We start from the raw sequence: 20,585 nt of genomic DNA, 5'->3' as shown, positions 1-20,585 counted from the left end.
CAGCACCCCTGGCCATAGGATGCCAGTAATACCTCCCAGGCACAGTTACGACAATCAAAAATGTCTCTGAACACTGTCAAATGTGCTATGGTGGGGGGGGGGGGGGGGGGGGGCAGCTGGGGGACAGCAAGAGGGACCTCCCCAGGTTGAGAATCAGTGGTCTAGGCATCTCCTTCTCCAGCTACTGTCACACCGCCCACAACAGGATCAGTCAGCCATGATGAGCCTCCAGCCCTCCAGTTCAGGCCCCTGTAACTTACCTTCACAAGGGCATACTCAAGGCGTTCTTCGACAGGGCCATTTCTCCACTCATCAGTCTGAATGACTTTCTTCCCTCCTGTGCCTTGAGTCTGAATTGAAATTGAAACCAAGAAATGGATACAACTCATCACTAACCAAACTGTTTGATGGCAAAACAAACAAACAAACAAAAAAACCTGTGTCTTATTCTTCTTTTACTTTTCCAGCCCCTAGTAGACTGTCCAGCATAAAATAAGATCTCAATGAATGTTTGAGGGAAGGAGAGGGAAAAATGAGAAATCTTTTAGGGTTTGAACTGTTAGTGTAGAGACAGAGTAAAATTCCATTCTTTCCTTTCCCTCTTTTCTAAAAATAACAACTCAACACAAAATTTCCAGGACAGTAAGAGAAGCTATACTCCAAACCCAATGAGCCTTCAAAGCTCTCAACAAGGATCACCAGTACCCAAAAACAGATGCAGGGAGGCCATAATGAAGCTAAGTCAGACATCAAAGGTGGGCACACTAGGAGGTGTACGACACAGACTATGCTCTCAAGGACTCTGCCATTGTTATGGTTTGAAGGTGTCCTCCAAAAGTTGTGTTGGAAACCTAATCCCTCTGCCCCCATGAATGGATTAACGAATTTATGACGGCTGGATTAATGTTGCTACCATGGAAGCAGGTTTGCTATCTCTCTGGCTCTCTTGCTCTTGCCCTCTTGACATGAGATGCCCTCTGCCATGTTATGACACAGCAAGAAGGCCCTCACCAGGGGCCAAGGCCATACTCTTGGATTTTCCAGCTGCCAGAATTGTGAGCTAAATAAACTTCTTTATAAATTATCCAGTCTTTGGTATTCCGTTAGAGCCAAAGAAAACAGAGTAAGACAGCCATGTCATAAGAGAGGTAGAAAATATGTAAAGAAAGAAAGGGAGTATATGTCAAGGGCTGAATGAGTACATAATACAGACTAAGTACATAGGAATTTTGAGGAAGGAATGGTTATCGTAAGCTAAGGTGGCAAAGAAAAGTTTCAAAGAAGCTGAATGATGAGAAGGGGCAGATTCAGCAAAGGAACAAAAGCGCAATGATCATGGCACACCTGATAAATTGCATTACTTTATTGTTTTCTCCACCTCAACTGGAGGTACCAGCTGCCAAACCGGAAACCTAAGTATCACCTTTGAATCTCCATTCACTACTCAAATTCAATCAATCACCTCATCCTAATGATTACACCTCAAAACTTTTTCTCTCCACCCTGCTTCCATTTTCACAGCCCAAGAACTAAGTAGTCTCCACAGCCCAGAATCATTCTGGTCTCTGATTCATCTTCCACACTGTAGCCAAAAGGATGCTTCCAAAATGCAAATCTGATCCAACTGCTCCCTGTGAAAAAAATCTCTGTGTAAGTTTCCTATTGCTTTCACGACATGGTACTGATTCCTTACCATGCCATCCAATGCCCTGATGAGATGGTTTGGCTGTGACCCCACCCAAATCTCATCTTGAATTGTAGCTCCCACAATTCCCACACGTCGTGGGAGGGACCCAGTGGGAGGTAACTGAATCATGGAGACGGGTCTTTCCTGTGCTGTTCTTGTGATAGTGAGTAAGTCTCACAAGATCTAATGGTTTTATAAAGGGGTTTCCCTGCACAAGTTCCCTCTCTTATCTGCTGTCATGTAAGACGTGCTTTTCACCTTCCATTATGATTGTGAGACCTCCCCAGCCACGTGGAACCGTGAGTCCATTAAACCTCCTTTTCTTCATAAATTACCCAGTCTCGGGTATGTCTTTATCAGCAGCATGAGAATGGACTAGTACACCTGATCTGGCTTTCTCTTCTGCCATTCCCGACAAGCTTCAGCCATCCAGAACACTTCTGTTCCTTATGCTCCCCTCCCCATCAACTCTTTACCACCAGGCCTTCGCATTTGTTCATCTGACATACATTTATGCAGTACCTATGACCATGCCAGACTCTGGCTACATGCAAATATCTCTCCCCTGGCAGGGACCACCAGCACTGCACTCTACCCCCAAACCTTGGCCTGGCCACCTCCTTTATTTCTCTCAAGTCTCACCTGACCTATCACTTCCCCTGGGAAGCTTTCCCTGACCATCTCTAGTTTGGGGTCAGAATCTCCCTCAGGCTTCTCCTAGCGTCCTGCACTTCCCCTCTCACAGCACTTGCTGCGCTGGGTGACAATCACCTCTATACATTTCTGCATGTATCACTGAGCTGTAGGCTCTCAGAGGGTAGGGGTACATCTCTCTTACTAGTTAGATCCTCTAAGTTCAGTCAAATGAATGGCACAAAGCGACATTTTAGTAAATATTAGCTGGATGAATTAATGCTACACAAAGACTGATTTTGCTGGAGTAATGTTTGTCCAGGGTGGTAGAGGCCAAGACACAGAGGGCCAAAAACCCATGCGGTGGAGTTTAAATTTGACCTTCCAGGCAATTGCATGGGCAGAAGGGGGAGACATTATTCAAAGTTCTAAAGCTGCAGATTAACATTCAAAGTCACATTTTTAAGGGAATCACAAAATGGGGAGAATATTTTAATAGTCCTTGATGGAGGCCTGGACTCAGTAGTGGTAACAGGAGGAAAGGAAAGGACAAATATAAAGGTATTAATAGACAATAACTAAGAAGGAGAGGAGGGAGAAATGCAAATCAAAAGCACAATGAGATACCATATCACGCCAGTTAGAATGGCGATAAAAAGTCAGGAAACAACAGATGCTGGAGAGGATGTGGAGAAATAGGAATGCTTTTACACTGCTGATGGGAGTGTAAATTAGTTCTACCATTGTGGAAGGCAGTGCAGCGATTCCTCAAGGATCTAGAACCAGAAATACCATTTGACCCAGTAATCCCCATTACTGGGTATATACCCAAAGGATTATAAATCATTCTACTATAAAGATACATACACGTATGTTTATTGCGGCACTGTTCACAGTAGCAAAGACTTGAAACCAACCCAAATACCCATCAATGATAGACTGGATAAAGAAAATGTGGCACATATACACCATGGAATACTATGAAGCCATAAAAAAGGATGAGTTCATGTCCTTTGCAGGGACATGGATGAAGCTGGAAACCATCACACTCAACAAACTAACACAGGAACAGAAAACGAAACACTGCATGTTCTCACTCATAAGTGGGAGTTGAACAATGAGAACACATGGACACAGGGAGGGGAACATCACATACCAGGGCCTGTCGGGGGGTTGGGAAGCTAGGGAAGGGATAGCATTAGGAGAAATACCTAATATAGATGATGGGGTGATGGTGCAGCAAACCACCATAGCATGTGTATACCTGTGTAACAAACCTGCACATTCTGCATGTGTATCCCAGAACTTAAAGTATAAAAATAATAATAATAGAAGAAGAAAAAAAAAGAAAGAAGAAGAACAAGAAGAAAGAAGAAAGAAAAAAAGAAAGAAGAAAGAAGAAAGAAGAAGGAGAGGAGGAAGGAATTGGGGAGAACTCCAAGATTTAGGGCCAAAGTGGTAACTGGAATAATAATACAAGGACTCTCATATGTTGAAAAACCTGAACGAGATAGTAAAAAAAAAGAAAAAGTCCCTCTGATGTTCACAGTCCCATCACTTGATACCTGTAAATACCATTTGTTCTATTAGCCACACAATCAGACAACTCCTACCTGGGGGATGGAGTTTTGCTGTGTAAAAACAGGGCGGTGTGTTCCAAACACTCTTGAAAAAAGGAACTGGTGTGTTCACAGAAAAATACCACAATGTACCAGACTTATGGGGTGGGAAGGGAGCAAAAAATATATGATTATGGACAGAGGCAAAAGAGGCTACAAACAGCAGTAAAGAATTCACTGAAGTGTTGGAGGTTGTGATGTCTAAAAACTATCCCACCTGATAGCTATGTTCCAAACCTGATGAATTTGACTCATGAAAGCAATACTTAAAATGAAACAGTACAGTTAAAAGCAGTTATTTCAGAAATACACAATGGCATGCTGAGGCCCATCTCACTATTCATGTAGTTATTCAATAGGGAGTTCTCCATGATACACAAACAAGGTGCTACACAGTTTTCACATACTAAGGAAGACCAGACCCAGGCACACTGTGGAAGCTTACATAGAAAGCTACCAAGCAAACTGACCAAGCAATTGTCATGTCCATCTGGCTACTCCTTGTATCTGTACGTGTACAAAGCTAATGAGAAAAACTACTTCTTCCCACTCTAGAGTTGCTTCTGCCTCACAGGGGCCTCACGGTTGTGTAGGTTATCAAAGGGAGTAAACTGCTGCAGAGAAAGCCAAGGAAGAATGTGAGCTCAAATGGTGAAGGAAGGGATCAAGGCCAAATCAAAGAACAGAAAACTTTCCCAGAAAGTATCAAGAATATTCTCAAGCTCCCGGGTCATTCCACAGCCATCCTATCCAGAGCACCAATCCTTCCACTCCATAGGAGGCCTGGCCTCCATTAGGGTACCATTTAATAAAGATCCTCCATGTAAATTACATGGTATCTGGAAATTTTTATTATCAAAAATAATTTACTTACCACAGGTCAGTCTGAACTAAATTAGGAAAATTGTTTTTCAAAAAAATCCCATTCCTCCCCAAATGTGAGATTAGAGAGCCTTGGAAGATCAGAGGCTATACTCTTCCCACTAGTTTCAATAATATATCAGACAGGAATCTGGGTGCAGACTTCTTCATTTGCAATAACCGAAAGAGATCATTCTCTTATAAAAGATAAAAAATCCCTTGACTCTTATTTGCCTCATAATATTCCTGCTCTTCATGCTCCATTTCACTCAGCGCATCCTAAGGAATTGCTACAGAGCTGGCGACTCCCAAGAGTTATTAGAGGATACCTGTTTTGGTTATTAATTCCCTCAATGGCAACGGAAGTCACCTTGAAGGCAGACAGTCTCCCTGACAGAGAGGTCAGTGGCTTATAAGAAGCCCTCGTGGTTACATTAAGAATGAGGAAATTCTTCTATGATGAATTGTTAAACTCCTGCAATTGCTATGAAGATTTCCCTCACTTTGACAGTGCCTCCAGGGGCAAAACCTCTTGGCAGCTCAGCATGACATACAGAAATGAAAGCTAGTAAACAAACGCTAAAAGTGAGTACAGACCAAAAGAATGCCTAGCACAAAATACAATGCCAAAAAAACCTTAAATGGGAACGGTCTTACAAATAAGGAGCCCCTTTCCTAAGTGAGAGGGCTGCCTCCTCTGGATAGATCAGGGAAAAGATAAAAACACAGCATTTCATGTGTTAATTAAGAACTGTCTAGTATGACTTCATGGCAATAGAGGCTATGATGCCCCTTTGGCCTTCAACAGAACTCTTTGACAGTTATTAATGAAGGACCCCCTACTAGGTAGAAGATAGACCATGACTCAAAACTGAATAGTGTTTAACGCCCATGTCTCAATGTTCAAAGAAGACGACAGGGCTAAGCACTCTATGTGGTCAATAGGAAAAAAATTAAAAATCTATGGAATGTTTCTTAAGTAATGTGCTGAGAAGTAGAACTTGATTGTATCTGCCACAACCAAATGAAACATTCTGTCCTGGGTCCACATGAGAAACTGGAAATGTTTTTAAGGAACTGAGAGGAGGGTCGTGTGAGCGTTGGCACAGTGTCTGAACTCCTTTCAGCTTTGTTGAGCCTAAGGCTTCCATAAGCAATTTCAGAAATCTAAGTCTTACTACCAGTAAGGCTGATAAAACAAGGATGTGGTTAATCTCATAGTGTCCTATCCTTCTTCCAGAGCATTTTATTACTCTTCTGTGGAAGAGGCAAAGTTGGCAGTTCTATCAGAGCTAAATTCAGATTCTAACATGGAAAACATTAACAAAGTTGGCAAGAGACACAAAAGCATCCTACCACTTTCTCAACATGCTTTGTGGGAAAAATATCTTCCTTTGCCATCATTCTCTTAAACAGATTAAAATGCAAGTTCTTTTGAGGTAAAGATCTCAACTTTCCTTAAACTGAATTCTAAGAAGAACCATCTACGATAGATACTTCATGTGCCTAGGACTGCGCCCAACATATAAATGAGAAACAAGCTGGTGTTTGAATTAGCTATAATTATACTCATTTTTTACACATCAAATGTGCACAGACCTAAGCCTTGAACTGCAGAACTTTGCCACAGATGGACCAGATCCTAACATAAACAGGTATACAAACCAAAACATGGAACAGTGGGGACCATGTAACACTAACATAGCCACACAAGAAAATCCAGAACAGCTATTTTAAATAATGAGGTAGAAAAATATCAAGTAAAATGGAAATATGTTCCCAGTACACTGCTAAGAAAAAAATATTACCATAAAAGCATCTAGAGTATAGTTCTATTTTTGTAAAAAATGTATGTATATGTACCTATGCATGCATATTCATTTTGCAAAAAGAAATAAAAACTCCCATCACTTAAAGGTTATAACAAAATCTCAAGTGTTTAACTTTGGGTGGTAGGATTACAAGTGATTTTTATTTTCTTCCTTTGCTTACCAGAATTTTGTAAATTTTCTAGAACTAATATGTTACTTGGTACAAGAAAAATTAATTTTACATTTTACAATAAATTTAAAGAAACCTAAGTTCAGAATACGGAAGCACCCTAGGCATGGTCTGTTTACCCTTCCTTGCCCTAGCTACACCACCATCTCTGCAACTCTCTGTAGAAATCTTCAGTGATCCAAATATATGATTCGATATTTGCTTCTATTCCACCATGAAGGTCTACTAACTGTAGGTGAGTAATACATTCAAAGATAGGAAAAATCCATCTATTAGAACACTTGTCTCTCTACCTGGGCATAACGTAAGAGCTTCTCAGTGGCCTCAGGGTCTTTATTCCAGATGAGATCTTCACAGAGCTGCAGAAGTTCCTTATGGATATCATCATACACAGGGAGGTTTCCAGCATTCACTATCCCCATGTCCATGCCAGACTAAGGGCAATACAAATAAAAATGAGAATTTACAGTGATACCTTAAGTCAGCGATCAGCAAACTTTTCTCTGTAAAGGGCCAGAGAGAAATATTTTAGGCCATAGCCTCTGTCACAGCTACTCAACTTTGTAGTTACAGCATAAAAGCAGCCACAGACAAGATACAAATGAATAGGTGTGGCTCTATCCCAATAAAATCTTATTTACAGAAACTGGCAGCAGGCCGGACTTAGCCTGCATGCCACACTTTGAAAACCCCTGCCCCAACTAAAAACTGGTTTCCGCAGGGCTAAGAGTTCTTCTACCATACCTTGATTGCATGGTAAAGGAAAACCCCATGCATTGCTTCTCGAATGGCTTCCATTCCTCGGAAGGAGAAGGACAAGTTGGAAAGACCTCCACTTATTCTGGCTCCAGGTAATGTTTCCTGGCAAAAATTTTAAAATATGAAAAGATTCCCCTTTTTTGCCAAAAACAGCAATCACATCTCTTAAGCTTTATATAGGAGTGGAAAGAAAAAAAAACAAAAAGCATCCGAAGTTCAAAGTAATTCAGAGCTTCTTGTTACTAGACATAGACCAAAGCTTGCCGTATTACAGTATTACAAAGGCGCTGCTTCGTAAGTAGTTTTTCCTACTAGACTCCAATCTCCCTAAGGAGAACACGCGCGTACACACACACACACACACACGCAGAAAGACAAAGAGGAATTCCTTATTCACTGAAAGTACAAATTACTAGAAGGCTTCCATAGCCTAAATGAACAGACTCCCTAGTTCACTATGAACTTGACCGACTATAAAAGGACAAAAGGAAATTGAAGTTCCAACCATACCGATGACAGTATCAAGCATCATCAGGCTTGTGGAATAACAGGAACTTTCACTATTATTGGCTCAAGAATCTAGGGAGACAGTTTGTCATTATCTACTACTATGAGCCAACCACTTCTGGGTCTATGCTACAGAGAAGTTCAGGCATGCATGTCTAAGATACATATATAAGAATACTCAGAGCTGCATTGTTCATAATGTCCAAAAGCTGGAAAAAAACTAGATGTCCATCAACAATAGAACAGTTAATTGTGGTATAGTTATACCATAGAATATTATACATTAATAAAAATGAACAAACAGCTACAGCCACACAGATAAATCTTTAGTATGGAGTAAGAAAAAAACATAAAAATATTACGATTCTATTTTTATTAGGCTCAAAAGCAGGCAAAACCAAACTATATCATTCAGATATTCAGTCAATTCTTACTATTTTGTGGTAGTTATGTTCTTTAAAGTCACTGCAAACACTGAATTAGGGAATACCAGAGCATTGCTCCTAGGAGAAATACAGGGCTAGGTTCCTATGAGCCTCTGATGACATTTTTGTCAACCAATCAATACATAACCTTGTTTTGTGCATGTATGTTAAGATGCTGTATCTAATATTTACTGTTGATTCATTAAGACTGAATTCACAGCCAATGGCACTATAATTCATGTCTGAACAAAGCTTATCTAACACACATATTTCCTCCCTAAGGAACATCACAGCCTTCTTGTGCTTAGAACACTAGACAGCACTAGTATGGGGCCATTTTAAAAAGTGACCTCACCAACAAAACGCATAAAAGTGTGAAAAACATGGCATTAGACTGCAAAAAGGACATCTGTGTACAGGATGAGAGCTGAAATAAGAAGGTAGGTCACTGCCATGTTTGCCCTCTTTGGGAATAATATGGGTTGGGCCACTCAAATTTTCCACCACTCTGCATATGGGTAAGTCTGAACAACTGCAGAAGTGACGTTGAGTATTGATTTTGGGGTCACAAATAAATTTCAGTAAGTACATGAATTTGCAAATATAAAATCCATAGATGATGCAAATCAAATCTACATATATAAGCAATAAATTTATGAAGAAAAGCAACAGAGTAGCGTCATAAAACTCAGGACAATAGCTACTTTATAAAATTGAGAATGAGGTGTAACTGGAAAAGGAGAGACAGACGGGGGCGCTAGCTATGCTCTATTTTGGGACCTAAGTGAAGGCTCTTATATGCTTCATAATTAATTATTTATCAGGTTCTGTGGTTTTTTTGTTTTGCATCATTTTGTTCAAGGCAGGGCCTCACTCTGTCGCCCAGGCTAGAGCGCACTGGCGTGATCCCAGCTCAATGCAACCTCCACCCTCCTGGGTTCAAGCGAGTTCATCAGGCTCTGTTATGTTCTCCAGTCTGTTTGTTACACAAGTTAAAACTCTACTAAAGAAAAAAAATAAGGTCTCCTACATTTCAGAAAAACAATTTACTAACTAAGAATGTTAACATTTCATCAGCCAATAAATATATAAGTTAGTTCTAACCATTCATTAGACCCATGGGACAAATTTGAGCCATGACTTGGGAGAGAACATGCCTACACTTACTTTAATGACTTTTGTTGCATGGATAAAATTAATGGCATACAAGTTGTGTTCCTCCATTCCAGTCCCAATGGTTAGGATATTAGGGTCAAAAATAATGTCATTTGGATTAAAGCCCAGTTTTTTCACAAGCAGATGGTAGGCCCGGGTGCACACTCTGATTTTTGTGTCTGTTTCTGTTGCCTAGGGAAAAGAGCAAAAGATGTAGTTTGAAATAGAAAAATTATCTATTAAAATATTAATATTAAATACCTGTTATTTTATTTTAATAAAATATTAATATTAAAATATTAAGTGTTATACATTAGAGCACATTTCACTCACTGAAAACACTCAAGTGTCAATGCTTGGATTTCACAGAAATCTAAATGCCAAGCAGCTTCCGATCACTTATCAAATTATCTCAGAGGAGAGACTGGTTTAAAGATCTCTTTGTGTTTTCACAAACACAGCAGCTATACTCTTTCTGCAAAAAATCAAACCTTAAACATATACACACATATGGTATATTATGAAAAAGCTTCTAAAAATACATGCATATGATAAAAAATCAAATACTACTAAAGAAGAGATTAACATGTAAGTGCCCCTTCCTCTCTTGACCTGACAGCAGTGTCACAACCTATCACCCAGGAAACACTGCCATTGCTTTCTCAGATCTTCTTGCAAAAACATTCTAAGCATATTCAAGGATATGCATTTATTCCTCACCTTCACCCATTTTAACACTGGCCTAACATGTGTCTTAAGTCATAAATACAAATTAGTCTTTACCTTCAAAATAATGTCCCTAAAAGGCAAAACACTAACTCCGGCAAGGCTCATCCCCCAGCTGCTTCCCAAAAGCCTCAGAATCTCAGCCTCCATCTCCAATCTCATCTCCTACCATTTGCCCTCTCCTCTACTCCGCACCTCCTACATTGCTCCTTTGGTGTTTTTGAAACCCGTCAAGCTTGTTCCTCCCTCAGCAACTTTCATTTATTGCTGCCACTACCAGAACATACCATGACATGGCTTTGTGCTTCACAGAACTAAGGCTTCTGCCCAAGTGCCCCCTTTTCAGAGCCTACCTTAAATCACCCTCTCTAAACCAGCCACTTCCACCCTTCCCCACCTCCTCCATTCTTCTTCGGAGTATTTCTTTCCAGAAATTGTATTATTTTGGCAACATCTTTAGTATTTTTCGTTGTTTTATTACTTGTTAATTGGTAAACTCCTCTCCCCTAGATAGAATGCCAGTCTTGCTTTATCCCCAGTGCCCTGAGCAGTGCCTGTCAAAGTAGGTGCTCAACATTATGTATGAATGCTGCTTTTACTCAAAGTATTTCTGAACTTTGTCATGGAAACTGTCTTCAGATCAAATTTACAACCTCAACACAGGGTATTCACCAAATTACATCCTGAATTATTTCTGGTTGTATGAAAAATCAAATCTACTCTTAAAAAATGATTACTTGCTATCACTCCAGAGATAAGAAAAAATAAGTCACAATTCTGAAGGTCAATTCTCAATGAACGCGAAAAATGTTCTTGAAAAATGGCCAACCCTACTGCAATCTATATTGCAGACTTCTGTGGAGATGAGGGGGTAGGGACACGGACATAGGTCAAGTGCATCTAGTGAGGCCCTAGACAACAGAAATGAGGAGTAGGGGAATTATGAAAAGAACTCTCTCTTAGATCTAGCCTTTTGATCACTTACTACTTTGGTATTCTTTTTCAACTGTTTTCTTTGGTCTCTTTAATCGCTCTCTGCAGCTGGTGGGGTGAGACTTCACCTCTACTTGGGAGGGAAGTGCCTCCAGGACTTAGCAGACAAAATGGCCCAGGGAAAGGGAGACAGGAAGTGGTCTCTGTGGCCTCACTGCACCCAGGCTTTAGGGAAGGTGGCGAGCTTTCGTCTTCCTTAATGGAATTTTCTCAATGCTTACTTCCTCTGCCTTCAGTTAGAGTGAAAAGGTTAAGGTTGAGACTGAGATGTATGTCAGAAAAAACTGGTCAGAAACAGCCCATTTGCAGCTGCCTTTAGGCTTGAACTTTTAAAGTCTACCCTTCACCAGACAGCCCAATAGAGTTCTAGGCTCTAGGTTCATGGCTCATCTAAGCTCACTAAGAGAGAAGGCACAGGGGCGACCAATGCTACTAGTATTACTGAGTAACCTAGTCTGGTTGGTAGATGAAGAAGTCAAGGTCCTGGTCATTCCTCATCTGAGCCATGAATATTATCTGGCCAAGCAGGGCAGGTTGAAGTGAACAGTATGTTACCCACAGGAGAGTAGGGTGTAGGGCCCAGCTGTATACCAAAGACAGCCCTGCTTGTGGGACAAGCAGGTGCATCCTCACAGGACAGGAATTCATTTCTAGAACCAAAACAGAGTCATCAACTCTAACCTCCATAAGGATGAAGCCCTTGTCAAATTGTTCTCATGGCGTCTAGCACAGTATCTGTGCCACATTAACAGATACTCAACCTCTGTCACTTGATTAAACAATGACTCTCAGAGTGAACACGGCATTGGTGTACAGGCCTTTGTCAGGAGCAGGTCATATCTCATATCACGTAAGGTTCACCAAGCTTCTGTCTTACTCCTCACCAGGGCTGTGGGACAGACACACTAATAAAGCCTCAATCGTGCTGGTGGATTTCAGAGATCCAGAATAGAAGTTCAGTAAAACAACGGAATGGCAGCTTTACTCCATCAGGAAGGGCTTTCAACTCTGGTTGCACATTACAATACCCTGGAGGGATTTCTGTTTGCTTGTTTTTTATAATAGTAACACCTCACCCTGAACCAGTTAAATCAGAATCTGGAGATGGGGTCTCAGCAAGTGTTTTGTAAAAGCCCCTTAGTGATGCTAATATAAAGCCAGGTGAGAACCACCAACAGGTGAGATGTGGCACCTTCTTCAGTTGGAGTAGAAGAAAAACTCAGTGAGATTCTAAGCAGCAAGAAGGAAGGAATAAATGCCATTTATAGCTTTATCAAACAGGTTTACTCTTAAGCCATAGAGAAGCTAGACTGTGACCAGTGAGTAGAAGGCTTTACTTAAGAAGCTCATGGCTCAGATTCTGCTAAAATATCACACACTCAGGCAGTAATGCAATAAAACAATTTTTGATTTGGTCATCAAGGCAGACACTGTGAGGAAGAGAAGGACAATGTGTAGAAGACATCTAGATTCTTTAATGTAGTCTGACAAGGAGCAGAGATCGAACAGGGCTAACTTCAGAGGTGAGTTAAAGTTTTAAAATCGAACTGAAGTAGTTGAAGATGGGCGAGAGAACCCTGGAGGAAGCAGAGGCCCATCCTGGGGCTGTAATTAAAAAAAGAAGTGGCCCGGCCCAGTACAATGGCTCACATCTGTAATCCCAGCACTTTGGGAGGCTGAGGCAGGTGGATCACCTGAGGTCAGGAGTTCGAGAACAGCCTGGCCAACATGGTGAAAACCCATCTCTACTAAAAATACAAAAATTAGCCAGTTGTGGTGGCAAAGGCCTGTAGTCCCAGCTACTTGGGAGGCTGAGTCAGGAGAATTGCTTGAACCCGGGAAGCGGAGGTTGCAGTGAGCTGAGATCACGCCACCGCACTTCAGCCTGCACGACAGAGTGAGACTTGATCTCAAAAAAACAAAAACAAAAACAAAAACAAAAAAAACAGAAGTGATGGAAACGGATGTTTGTGCCTTTCAAGAGAGACACTGACAAGTAGGAAGGGAAACACTGAAGAAAAGGAAGTTTCCAAGGGAAAAAATCTAAAAATCAATACCAAAGGGAAAAAATTTACCAAAGAAAAAATAAGCCAATTACAATAAAAACAACAAACAAAACACACAGGAATGATCTAGAGATTGCCTATTTAGGGATAATTACAAAACTCCATTGAATGAGTAATTGAAAGACACGCCATGTTCCTCAATGACAAATCTAAACACTGGCAAGATACCAATTCCTTGTTATTTTCCAGGTTAGGATTAATTAGATATTAATCAAGATCCAATGGTTCTCCATAATTAGAAATTTATTTTCAAATCATTTTAAAACAAGAAAATGAAAAAAACAGGAAAATGTGTTGCATATATTGATTATTCTTTTATATAGTTTACACATGTGCAAACAAAAACTAATATAGACTATTCTGCTATTATGTGATAATTATATTTCTAAGACACTTCACGTTATCAAAAATTGTCATACAAAGTCATTTTTGTGAACCTAAGGATTATATGAAAAAAATTAAAAATCATTTCATTTAGAAAAAGAGAACTAAATCTAGAGTCAGTATACTTGTCCCATAGAAATTTCAATAATAAAGGTGTCCTGTATCTTGTTATGTAGAGTTAAGAATAACAGTTGGTCAAAACTATTAGCAACAACAAAAAACATAGAAATGTTTTCTTGTTGCCTTTCAATCCAGAAGTCTCAGGCCCAGCCTCCTGTCATATCTGGTCTTGACCTTGCAGTTGTGTTTGCAACATGGATCACAGACATTAACCAAACACTCAAACACAGCAGCCAGATATTGAAACAAAGCTGGTGTGCCTTGCTTAGTCGCAACAGTAGTTTCCCATTTGAGGGAGTTGTTTTTTTCCCCTATAATCAGTGGTGTCAATCCAAGCAAAGCAAATCCCGGTTCTTAACTGATTGCTACATCCAATAGCATTATGAGAACTCAATCAACAGAAAACATGCCTTTATATAAAAATACCTGTATTGCTGGCTTCTTAACTTTGAAAGTATACAGGATTTTTGCTTTGCTTTTTATAATTTTCAATATTTATGACAATTTGACAGTGAGCATACATGCTGCTCCATAATCTGCATAATATTTAAATACTCTGGAGAATAGTCCAGTAAAATTATGTTACCTATCTATTTCTCTTCAGTTGGGCACTTGGGCTGTTACATTTTCAATAATGTTGGTGTAAAATCTCGGCATATACAGTATCCTTATGCTGTTGAATTCTTTTGTTGGAATAATTTCCCAGAAATAAGATTATGAACTCAAGGGGTATAAACAATTTTTTGTCTCTTGACAGGCATTATATTCTCTTTCAATAGGACTGTACCAGTTTATACTACACTCTGCAACAAATGAGCCTTCAGTTTTATCACTGCTGTATCTACACAGACCTTGACCATTTTTTACTTTACTAATTTAGTAGGGATAAAACATTACCTTAATGCTGCTCTAATTTGTATATCTTTCATAACTAGCAAGTTAATTTTTTTTCCTACATTTGCTTTTAATTTGTGGTCACAGTTAAGTCTAAATTGGGAAAACCTATCCTTAGACAAGACCAAGCACTAAGCAGTGCCAATAAACAAAGCACAGAGTAAACACAGGATGTGGAAACATACACCAGTCTTCAAATGAGGAAGACCAAAGGTAAAAACTTGGTTCCACCATGTCCTAGATATGACACTGGTCCACTGTAAAATGCAATGGCCGCCACCTCGGTGGTCACTCTGAAGACTAAACGAAATAACCTCTGCTGGTGGTTTTCAACCAAAAGATACATGAGAATCACCTCCAAGGCTTTAAAATGTCTAAAGCCAGGCCTCATCCCAGACCAAATGAGTCAAAACTCAAGGGCTGAAGTCCAGGAGTGTGTACGATTTTTCAAAAGCTCCAGCAGTGACTGCCTTCCCTGTCAGAGTGAGTCTGCTTTGCACTCCTAGTTAAGCACCACAGATCCCTAAGGCACAACATTCCATTCTCACTCTGAGTTGACCTTGCTTCCAACTTCACTGAGAAAACAGAAGCAATTATAGACTCCCGCCAGCACATCAACCAGCATGCCTGCAGATCTGCACTCTTTACTCTGCCTTCTCTTTTGTACTTTGAGCAAACTGTCCAGCTACTGATCTAAAGCCACCCCTCCACTCACACAGTGACTGCCATCTCTCTCAACTCACAAGGTCATGGCTCTGGCAAATGTATCCTTTATCTCCTGCATCAGTTCCTCCCTCTCTCTCCCAGATCATTCTCATTAGCTTACAAAAACATGTTGTCACAGCATCTACACACACACACACACACACACACACACACACACACACACACACACACACGCCCTTTCTGAACCTCGTATTTCCCCCCTGGTTTCCACCCTATTTTTTTGCTCCCCTTATGGCAGAACTGTAAAAAGTTGCCTATACTGCTGCTTCTATTCTTCTCCTATTCTCTCTTGAACCCACTCCAATAAAGTTTTCATCTCCTTGGAAACAGTACAGCAAGATCACAAATGACCCCATTTCTAAATCCAACGGTAAACTCTTGGTCTCATCCCACTTGATCTATCTACAACTCTTTAAACAGCTGAACATGCCCTTTTCTTTGATGATTGTTCTTCACTTGGCTTCCAAGGGAACTCTCTCTTCTGACTCCCCTCCTACCATACAGGCTGCTCCTTCTCATATCCTTCTGATGGTGTTTCCTCTTCTCCCCAGTGCCCTAAGCACTGTGGCTCTAAGACTCACTTAGTCCTAGGACTTCTCTACAGTCATTCCTTTGGTGAGCTCAGCCAGTCTCACTATTTTAAATAGCATGTACAAATAATTCCCAAAAAAAGGAATCCTATCTTCAAGCCAGACTTTGCCCATGAAATCCACTCATTTGCACAACTGCACACTCGACATACCCACCACATACTAAGTCCAAACCCAAACTTCTCCTTACCCCATCCCAAACCTGCTTCTCAGTCTTTCTTACCTCAGTAGCTCCTTCCTTTCAATTGCCCAAGCCAACAGATTCTAAAGTTATCCCTGACTCCTCTTTCTTTCACAACCTATACCCAATGTGAATACAAATCCTATTGGCTCTATGTTAAAAATATATGTAGAAACAGATGACTTTTAACATCCTCTTTTGCTTTCACCATGGCCCTAACCATCACCATATCTCATCTGAATTACAGCAATAAACTCTAACATTTCTGCTTTGGCCCTAACAGACCATTCTCCACAAAGAACCAGAGAGGTTTAAACATAAGTCAGATCATATTCGCTCCTCTGTTCAAAAGTTTTCAGTGGTGTCCCCACTCACTCTGAGTAACAATGTTAACCAAAAGTGTTAGGAATGGCCTCCAAGGCCCTATGTGATTTGATCTGCCACCTTTCCAACCTTGTATCTTCCCAATCTCCTCCTCTCCCCTCTGCTCCAGCTACTCTGGCTTCCCTGTTGGTTTTCAAACAGGACAAGCATCTATCTACCTCAAGATTCCCTCTGCAAAGAACACTCTTCCCCTACATTTTCACATGGCTCACCTAGGCTTCTGCTAAAATGTCACATCATCCATGAGGCCTTCCCAAACTATCCTACATAAAATAACATTCCCCCACCTCCATGCTGAGGGGGGATCAAATCCTCTTTTCCCTTTACCGTATTCAACACCATTCAACGTGTGTATATACACACACACTTTTTTTTTTTTTTTTTTGGAGACAGAGTCTCACTCTGTCACTCAGGCTGGAGTGCAGTGGTGCAATCTCACCTCACTGCAACCTCAGTCTCCTGGGTTCAAGCAATTCTCATGCCTCAGCCTCCCCAGTAGCTAGGATTACAGGCATACATTACCACATCTGGCTAATTTTTGTATTTTTAGTAGAGACGGGGTTTCACCATGTTGGCCAGGCTACTCTCGAACTCCTGAACTCAGGTGATCTGCCTGCCTCAGCCTCCCAAAGTGTTGGGATTACAGGTGTGAGCCACTGCACCTGGCCAATTATATATATATATATACATCTTTTTTTTTTAAATTTGTTATTCCCTTTGTCCCTAAGAATATAAATCGTGCAAGGACAGGGACTAGGTTTTATTCTCCGTTGTCTCCTCAGAGATTAGAATAGGGATAGGGCCTGGCACATACTAAGTGCTCAGGATATATTTGAAGATATTTGCTTCATTAAAAAGTAACAGTTGCTATATATATTTTTAAAAGGAGCATTCAGATAACAAAAAAAGACCTTCAGGAAAAAGAAGAAATAAAACTCAATAGACGGTTTGGAGGATAAATGTAGATATGAAAATCTCACCCGATGCAGAGCAAAACACCAGAGTTGGAAAACAGGAAAGAAATATAAGAAAATTAGGCAACCTGTCCAAAACATTCAATATCTCAATAATATATGTACCAAAAAAGAAAAGAAAACAACTCAAGGACACTTCCTACCACTGCAGCTGTGAGTTTCACAAATGAAAGGCCTACTGAGTGCCAGCATAATGGATGGCTCATCATCGCGGGAGTTCAGAACACGGTGAACACAAAAGATTCCCAAAGCCTCCAGAGAATAGAAAAACAAGTTTCACAAAAATAATCAAGAGTTAGAATAGCACAGCCGGGCGCGGTGGCTCACGCCTGTAATCCCAGCACTTTGGGAAGCCGAGGCGGGCGGATCACGAGGTCAGGAGATCGAGACCATCCTGGCTGACACGGTGAAACCCCGTCTCTACTAAAAATACAAAAAATTAGCCGAGTAAGGTGGCGGGTGCCTGTAGTCCCAGCTACTCGGGAGGCTGAGGCAGGAGAATGGCGTGAACCCCGGGGGGCGGAGCCTGCAGTGAGCCAAGATCGCGCCACCGCACTCCAGCCTGGGCGACAGCGAGACTCCGTCTCAAAAAAAAAAAAAAAAAGAGTTAGAATAGCACTGGACTTCTTACTAATACCAGTGGGAATGAGAAGACAATGGAGCAGTACTTTCAAAACACAGAACAACTTCAAGTTTGTACTCCTATGCCCATGCAACTGCCAATTAAGTGTAAAAGTAGAATACGGCCATTTTCTGACACGTAAGGTTTCAAAAATATTTACTGCCATGTTTTCTTTCACAAGAAGCTATCAGAGAATGCACTCTACCAAATGACTAAAAAAAAAAAAAAGATTAACCAAGAATTTGGAAATTATGAGTTCTAAAAACCTAAGAGAAAGGCAATGGAACCCCAGGAGGAAGGTAAGGGACAGCTAGCAGTCACAGCTGTGCAGCTGGCCTACTTCCAGCTCATGTCAGAAGACTTGGAGGGAGAATTCTTCAAAAAAGTAGTATGACAGTCCTCTTAATGTGTCTGGCTACATTGGATACTTGAGATTTATACAACTAGGGGACAATCTGAAGGCGAAATACATAGAAAACAATGCAAACAAAAAGATAAATATTACCTTCATAGAAAACAAATAAAGAGTGAGAAAGGATAAGCAATCACAGTATACTACTGCATGGCTCAGCTTTTACACTGTTTAATAATGTAAGCACTGAAAACGATTATAGCTAAAATGAACTATATTGGGAAGGATAAAAGTAAAGCTGTACAGAGTCAGGGCAGTGGATGGTGAAAAGCTAAAAAATCTTTAATCACTGTAGGAAGTCAATAAATAAAAACTAAAACTGGAATTTGAAGATAAAGAGGTAGATGCTACAAGAATCAGCTTAAAAAGCTGAACGTGGGTGCCTCAGGATCTAGAAGGCTGAAGGCTTTTTTCTTTTTGTTTACGGAACTATTTGTCTAACTATTTGCAGAAAATACAATTATCAAAAGGTCCCACACCACACTAAACTTGTAGTGGATGATAACAACTTTTCAGATGGACAATTTTAACAACGTGCCTCAAAATAGTAAATGTGTACACTCTTTGACATAGCAATCCCACTCCAATGAACTGACTCTAAAAAAATCATTCTAGAAGGGGAAATCGCTGCATGAATTAGGATATTCATTGGCCACTGAACTGTTCATGCTACTAAAAAATTAGAAACACAATTTCATTCAATAATAGTAAGTAAAACATACTGGAATGCAATGCAACCAGAAAACATGGAGTTTTAATCCACTAATATGGGAAAATGCCAACATTATGTTGAGCAGGGGAAAAGAGTTACAGAATACCAGGTATAATCTCGTTTATACAAAACTTTTCATTTGCTGAAACCTCGTTTGCTCTTTCTCCACGTGGCCATGTGGCTTCCTCTCTCATTTTATTCTGGTTTTCAAATGTTGCCTCCTCAGAGGGGTCTTATAAGACCACCTGTTCTGAACAGGCCAACTCTTCCCTGACAGCCTCTTCACTCGACCATTTAGCACAGGCCCTGATGAATGAAACCAGATCTCCTAGGCCTGAATCCCAGCACTGCAAACTGTTAGCTGTGTGACAACCGCCAAGTCCTGGGACATCTCTGTGCTTTAGTTTCCTCACAAGACATTCAAAAATAACAAGAATACATACCCACAGTTTATATGCTTGGAAGAAGAACTGATTTAATGTGTGTTGTGTACTTGCTTGGTGTGAATTAAGGTTCAATATATGTTAATGATCAAAACTATCTCTCTTTTGCAGTCTTCTGGATGATTTGAATTTTTTCACAATGAAGAAAATGTATCTTTCATACAAAAAATGCATTTAAAAACAATTTCATTCCAAAAATACAAAACAAAGACAGAAAGAAAAAGTACATACAATCCTACTACTTGTTCATTGTCAGTATGTCCCCATTTGAGACCACCCCCATCTCAGATCATCCCTACCCCACCCAGTTGACAACCATCAAATTCTTTTCTCTGCTTATGCAGACAAACATATGTAAATGTAAGTACTTTTATATTAAGTTGGGATCATGTCACTCATTTTTTTCATTTTTCAATATACTGAAGACATGGTTCCATCTCCTGATTCTTTTTAACTGCTGCACAGTATTCTATGTAGTAAGGACCAAGTTTAAGCATTGCCCTAGTAATGGACATTTAGTGTTCTCAGCTTTTTGCTACCACAATGCTACAATAAATGTGAACACATATCCTTATACACTCAACCTTATTACTAGATTCCCAGGAAGGGCTTAATCATAAGAAATAGATTTTTTAGTGGTTTTAAATAGGTACCAAAATATTCATACAAAGTTATGTGAAGTATAAAACATGACAATAATCAGTGTATCAC

General features: G+C 40.3%; 1 protein-coding gene across 13 annotated transcripts in view; it reads right to left on the bottom strand.

Moving 5' to 3' along the window:
* MTR (5-methyltetrahydrofolate-homocysteine methyltransferase) overlaps positions 1-20,585 on the bottom strand; it is a 108,701-nt gene that overhangs the window by 43,799 nt on the left and 44,317 nt on the right. For all 13 annotated transcript variants that reach the window (NM_001291939.1, XM_047421186.1, XM_005273141.6 and 10 more), the window contains 4 exons: positions 9,660-9,839; positions 7,546-7,662; positions 7,095-7,235; positions 261-350 (listed from right to left, as the gene is read on the bottom strand). In NM_001291939.1, the coding sequence (NP_001278868.1) occupies positions 261-350; positions 7,095-7,235; positions 7,546-7,662; positions 9,660-9,839 (528 nt within the window). The remainder of the gene's footprint in view (positions 1-260; positions 351-7,094; positions 7,236-7,545; positions 7,663-9,659; positions 9,840-20,585) is intronic.

Source organism: Homo sapiens, chromosome 1, assembly GCF_000001405.40.
Source record: "Homo sapiens chromosome 1, GRCh38.p14 Primary Assembly".
Classification (NCBI taxonomy): Eukaryota; Metazoa; Chordata; class Mammalia; order Primates; family Hominidae; genus Homo; species Homo sapiens.
The sequence above is the reverse complement of the archived record's forward strand: the minus strand, read 5'-3'. Positions and strand labels throughout refer to the sequence as shown.